Genomic DNA, 6966 nt, shown 5'->3' with positions numbered 1-6966 from the left:
ATTGTCTCTATTTAAATAGGCTCTGAAGTGTCTTCTATGCTCCCGAGGCAAATTAAAAAGGAAATCCAGGAAGAATTGACAGGCTGTTCCCTAGAACTCTGAACAACTCTAATTATGTTACAATACATTTAGATGGTTTAGCACGGAGTAGTCTGCCTGCCTTTTGAGAACAGAAGCCCGAGTAGTTTCCGCAATGTACTTCTCTTGATGTGCTTAGGGAAGCTTCAACATTACACGTTAATGCAGGAAACAACTGTACGTTTTTGTACTACTTAATTCATTGCTGTGTTTGACTTGTGTTTTTCACATTCAATAATATAGACAGTTTCATGATGCTGATTCCAAACCCGAGTCTCCAAGGGTTACCATTTAAATCATCATCACCATGAATGCCTTCATTTTTGCAATCGCTCAGCATACAGAGTTAGGTTCTGGTTCATCAGCCACAAGCTGGGCAAAACCCAAGCCCTAGAGAGGCACAAAGGTAAGGCAAGGGGAGCACCCAAGCAGGAGAGTAATTTACTTAGCTTCAACAATTCCGGCTCACAGGAACTTCTCTGAGTGCTGTGACAAGCCTCAGCATCAGCTGCTCCCAGCCTACTTGCAGGGAGTCCACCAGAGTGTCTGTTTCGTGTTAGTGTGTTAACAGCAGGAGCTGAAAAGTTCTCCAGACTGTCTTGTCCTGCTTTTTAAATATAAGCATCCTGTGTGACATATCCTGGAAGGAGAGGAATACAAATAAGGTGGAAATAAATGAGCAGAGCTGTCTCAGACGGTAATGTATTTCCAAAGGTGTCTGTGGGGAGTTGGTGGGGATGGCATAGTTACTGCCTAATTTGCTTGGCTTTCTATAATCATTTCCATTTATCTGCAATCTAGTTAAAAGCTACTAGCTAGTTTATCCATTTCTACATGGGGATCCATTATAAAAAAGCACTTCTTTTTGCAAAGTAAGATCCATTCTTGCCTATTCCCCAGAGTGAACTATCAAAGGATAAATTATTTTCTAGATAGGCGCTCCACATCACTGAACAACTCAATCTATGTTCTTTCATCTTCACAGCTCTCTCACTCTGTGCAGTTCCTGTGCTGGTTCATTAGCTATTTCTAGTCAGGGCTCCCCTTTTCTAGCAAGCTCCACAATCCCAGAGTTCAGGCTTCATTCTCGTCATGATTTGCTTTTCTGTTGTACTGTAAACAATCAGTGGAAAAAATGAGTAGAGACTTACCTCATTTTTATTTGCGGATTAAACTGCATTTTGCAACTATTATTTTTGAGGGCTAGAGGAGAATTAATGATGGGTTTTAGGGGCCAATACACAAGGGATATTTAAATGCACATTTATCAAAATTAAATAAAATGAGGCTTTTTGTTTCTCAGTCACACTGGCCACATTTCAAGTGCTCAATAACCCCGTGTATCTAGTGACTATCTTATTGGACATTTTCATCATCAGAAAGTTCTATTGGATGGTTCTGCTCTACTAGAGAATCAAATCCTTGTGAATAGGAGCATTCTCTTGGACATCCCTGTTGCCTAAGACAGTCATAGGGTAGGTGCTTTGTAAAAAATAATAATAATAACCCTACTTTAGCAAAGTTCATCTGATTTGTGAATCGTCAGGGGAATCTAACTGATGTCCTGTCAATGCTATATTTCAAGTCATGAGATTTTCTAGTTGAGAAACATTCCACCTATAGAGGTCCTTGAAAATTACATATAATTGATTCACAAAACAGTATGAAGAAGGAAATAAATAATTTTATGATCCTGTTACTAAGAAATGAGAGGTTAAAACATTTGCAGATACATGTCAATAACTAAATAATACTACAGGAAAATAAACTAAGAAATGCTATCAGGAAACCCATGATTAATTGCTAGGGGAAGCACAACTGCTATACAAGAAGTCTAAAGAATAAGAGAATGGGTGGATGGTTGTTCCATGGAAGGCTTTACAGAGGAACCAAAGCCCTGCCCATCTTTTGCAGAGGCTGGTGTCATTAACACCTCTGATTGTGGCAAGGCCTATGACAGCGGTCTGGCTGCAACAGCATCAGTATCCCTTTTATCACTCAGCATAATTTCAGAGGTCTGTAGCCTAGTCAGAAGTCATTTCCTGCTTTCTGTGTCTTTCCCAGAATCGAATGCTCTGTCAGAAAGACCCTCTTCCTTGAGGGGGAAATTCTGTCTTCTTGAAAAGATGATGGTAACTCTGCACTCCTGTTGGTATGAGTGAACCAGTCTTTACCAGCTTTTGCATTGGACTCTCTGATCATCCCCACCCCAGGAGCCCAGGCATCCCAAGGGTCCCATCCTGCAGACCTCCTGGAGACTGCCCATTCACACATACGATTTAATTGCCTCCGGCAAAGGAAGGAGAGAGGATTAAAGGCTGATTAAAGAGCTTACAGAAAATAGATGAGATTAGAAATGAATCCTCTGGAAACCCAAGGCTGCATGAAACAGATCTTGTGGGGCAGGTTGTGTGCTCCTGCAGTCCTTGCTGCTCCTGTGTCACTTACAGGAAGAAGGCACACTGGAAAGTCAAGTCCAAGAAGAGGTGCTTTACATGGAGCTTGCACAAAGGGACAGAGAAAAATACACAATATAAAATATATATATTTTTACCAAAAGATAAAACAGAAGTAATTGCTTCCCACCATTTTATGAAGAAGCAAAGAAGAAAGTATTTATGAAACATGATATATGCCACCCATTTTTTTCCGGGTGATATTTTATTAATTAGCATTTATTTACCAATACAGTAAACAACTACTCTGATAGGCTTCCGATCCAAATTTTAATGTTAGAGTTAGCAGAAACTACATAGAAGAGATAGTTTGGTCTCATCCTCATCTGTAACATTTCTGTAAATAGAAGACAGGTGTGGTAGCTTATATCTGTAATCCCAGCATATTAAGGAAGCTGAGGCAGGAAGATTCCTTTAGCCCAGGAGTCCAAGGCTATAGTGAGCTATGATCTCACCAATGCACTCCAGCCTGGGAGACAGAGCAAGACCCTGCCTCAAAAAAAAAAAAATTTTTTTTTGGTAACCATTTGAGATGGCTCTATGGGGAAAGTGAGCATGCTAATTCCTGGAAAAGAGAGAAACTTGCCACCAAAGAAATTTCTCTCTTTCCTTAACTTGATCATAACCCCAAAAGGATTAGCTGCCCAGAAACTTTCCCCATCACCTTGAGTTGTCAAAAGTACAAAGAAGCAGAGGGCAAAGGAAGGCAGAACTCCAATCAGCTTTGTGAGGTCTCTGGAAGCCTAGTTTTTCCTTCAACATGTTACCATTAAAACCCAATCAGCTTCTGTTACACAGGGCAAGAGCTTGATGAGCTCGTAACCTTATAAACAGTTCTCTGGAGAGATGTGGTGAGGTTATCTGAATATAATTCATCTAGGCAACAAATTGACTCATCACTCAGCTCACAAATCTTCCTGTGGACCAGGCTGCCAAAACAGGAAGAATGTTCCCTTCTGTAGAAATCTTCCTCTAAACTTTGCTAATTTTATGGAAAATCTAGACCCCTTTGAGAGTAAAACAATAATAAAGATAGTAAATATATACATAATTTTCTGAGTACCAGGCATTTTTCATAATTCTCTGTCTTCCAACAATCCAACAAGTGTTCTAGTTAGAAGGAGTTATGCTCATTGTATATATGAAGGAAATTGAAATTCTTAGGCATAAGTATAGCACACTTTCCAAGTTATACAACTAATAAATTAAGAAAGCTGTGTTCAAATTTAGTTCTTTCCTGTTTGAAAGAGAAGTTTCCTCCTACTAAATCATATGGTTAGCTCATCTACTCTGAAAGCAAAATTGTATTAGGTTGGTGCAAAAGTAATTGCCAATTTTGCTATTAAAAGTAATGGTGCCAGGCGCAGTGGCTCACGCCTGTAATCCCAGCACTTTAGGAGGCCAAGGCGGGTGGATCACTTGAGGTCAGAAGTTCGAGATCAGCCTGGCCAACATAGTGAAACCCTGTCTTTACTAAAAATACAAAAAATTAGCCGGGTGTGGTGGCTGGCACCTGTAATTCCAGCTACTCCAGAAGCTGAGGCAGGAGAATTGCTTGAACCCAGGAGGCAGAGGTTGTAGTGAACCAAGATCGCACCACTGCACTCCAGCCTGGGCAACAAAAGCGAAATTCCATCTCAACAACAACAACAATAAAAAGTAATGGCAACACTGTAATTGCTTTTGCACCAATCTAATAAAAAGATACGAAGTCCAAAAAAAAAAAAAACTTTTCTACGGTTATGATGGGATAAAATTGATTTAATGGTTTATTTTCAACCTGAGTTAATTAATCCTCTACTGTGAGTTACTTGTCACAATGTGTCTTAGGGAGAAACTATCTTAATTTCTGATCTCAAAGAAATAGCAAATTTCCCTCTGCCACAAGTTTCAACTTAGGATTCTTCAGCTATTGTGACATCCCGAAAGCTTGACATGGTAAGCTTGGGAAAAAGGATGTGACTGCCAGCCTATAGAATAATATAAGACAGTGCTTAGAAGCAACAGCAAAATCAAAAGCCAGGCAGGAAGTCCAGCACTATCTACCTGAGGGGTAACACAGAAGAGAATTCAGTATTAGGCAACACTGAGGGCTTTCTTATAAAAATCATAGGATTGACTATAATACAGTTCTCATATTTCCCTAATTAATTCTTCTTTGATGCTTGGATATAGACAATTGAGAGAGTGTAGTGAAGTGAGTCTGCATTAGGATTTGAATTGGTACAGAAGAATCTAGAAAGCTAGAAGCCTAGTCACAGGGGAGGAAAATTCCTTTCTAGTTGAACACTGACATTACCAAAGGCATTTCCTGAGTATAGAGTTAAGAGAAAATAATTGTAAAGAATATAATTAAAAGGAGAAGTAATGATCATTATTATTATTATTTATCAGAATTTTGACAGCATTGATTTATTGTAAGCAAGCATCTTATGGTTTAGAATTCTGAAGCCAGTTTATTCCTTCCTGGTTAACTAAAGTAAAATGTTACTTATCAAGCACTTTGAAGACACTTCTCACTTTGTTCTTTCTGTTTTCTATTCTGAGATTTCTTCTAAAGCCATGTTGGTTATCAGCTACTTATCAGTATGGTGTACAAGATGGAATCTGTTCTGATTGGCCTGGTATTAGTAATGATTTTCTGGCACCTTGGTTATAGAGTTTGCCAAATATTTGCAACTGTCTTCCCTGTTGAGTGGGGTATTAACTGTCCCACACAAGTACTCCCTAACTCACTTTTTTAAATTTCAGAATTTGTGTCTCCTTTACTCATAACTTGGTAATCTGAAAGAATAATTTGTCATGATCTTTCTGTATACTATGTTTAATTTACATATTTAAATGTATATAGTCTGTAAACATTCTGCTGTATCATCCTTTTATTATTGTAACCATCATTTCCGTAATTTCGTTTCCAATACCTTTGATCACTCTGCTTTCATATTTCCACCCTTTTTTCTCCTTCTCTTCTCTTTGTTTTCCTCCCTGCCTCCCTCTTTCTCACTCATTCTCTCTCTCATTTTCCTTCCCATTACATTATCTCATATCTAAAAGTTAAAACTGTGTTTAGTTTCCATTTATTTTAGGTTTCTGTGTTTATTCTGTTTACTTACCAACTAATTGTTGTGTGTTGGTTCCTAAGAGTCATTTCTGTAATTTTTTTTCTCTCAACCTTTTTGCAAGTGAGGTTTTATAATTTGGCCACTTTTTGTAGCTAGAGAGTATTTCCTAAGCTTTGGAGAAAACCACTGTTTCCCTTGCAGTTAATAAGTATTCCAATTTTGTGGCCTTGGCTTGTGGCATAGTGGAGGACACGGTAAGGGAATTTGTGGCCAGGCAGGCTGTCTTCCCAGAACATGATAAACTGTAATACATTGCCTTTAGAAGCCACGTAGGTAAAGCAAATGTCTGAAGCTGATGGAGTTTTAAAGCAATATAGGTGTTGACTACTATGGAGAACTGGACAGTGTATCATGTTTACATTACTTTGATTTTTTTTTAAAGTTTAAACACTTTTTTTTGCCAAATGAAACAAATCTTCTGCCTTCATAAGTCCCAAGACCCCCTTAACTTAAATTAATGAATCCTATTTTGTGTTACACATGGAGCTTGTCTTCTGGGTATAGGAATTTCTTGTCCCTTTTGGCAAAAACAATTTATGTAGGACATTGCCCTACTTTTCTAGCACTAGCTCCCTCTTTGGATGTCTCCAATGTCAGAATTCCTAATTATTTTGTGAGAAGTAAACTTGACTTGCAGTTTTACCCTGAGGGCAAATACGGGTGCCTGCTGATATGAAAATGCATACTTGACACAATTTTTCCACAGCAGTTATTAATTACTGCCAAGACATGGCAAATTGCATTATTATTTAGCACATACTCACTTCTGCTTTACCTCTATCTGTGGGAGGATTATACTTCCTGCCCCACTAATACTGGGGTTGGCCACATGTCTTACCTTAGCCATTGCAGAATCATGTGCTACATTTACAGAGAGGCCATTTAAATGTACTGTGTCATTTGCTTATCCTCATTTACTCCTGAATTCAAGCTTCAGAACACGCTCCATGTAACTATGGCTTCTGTAGTCTGAATCCTGGAAAATAGAAATGTATAATAGACCTGAATCCCTCCCAAAACCTAGAACAGAGCCACTACAGATCTGTAAGCATGACATAAATGTTTGACATCATGAATCATTGAGTTCTAAGGATTGTTTGTTACTGCAGTAGTTAACTAGTACAGAATTTGGTACCAGAAACAGAGTAATGTCATTATAAAAACAAAAGCAACTCTTAAAAATATCAACTAAAATATATACTATTACCTTTAGGGAAGGACAGTGAATTGCAAGAAACTGTTATAGAAAACTAGACAAAGACAATCCATGCTATTGTAAGGGCAAAACAGTTGATTAAACTGTGTCCTGC

At 38.4% G+C, this 6966-nt stretch overlaps 1 long non-coding RNA gene across 1 annotated transcript; it reads right to left on the bottom strand.

Moving 5' to 3' along the window:
* Window positions 1-633: 633 nt before the first annotated feature.
* Window positions 634-6661, bottom strand: LOC105379368 (uncharacterized). The gene is made up of 3 exons (XR_949663.2): window positions 6495-6661; window positions 2414-2579; window positions 634-718 (listed from the first exon to the last, which is right to left on the bottom strand). It is a non-coding gene; the product is annotated as an uncharacterized LOC105379368 (long non-coding RNA).
* Window positions 6662-6966: the final 305 nt, after the last annotated feature.

Source organism: Homo sapiens, chromosome 8, assembly GCF_000001405.40.
Source record: "Homo sapiens chromosome 8, GRCh38.p14 Primary Assembly".
Classification (NCBI taxonomy): domain Eukaryota; kingdom Metazoa; phylum Chordata; class Mammalia; order Primates; family Hominidae; genus Homo; species Homo sapiens.
This window is presented reverse-complemented; position numbering and strand designations above follow the sequence as displayed.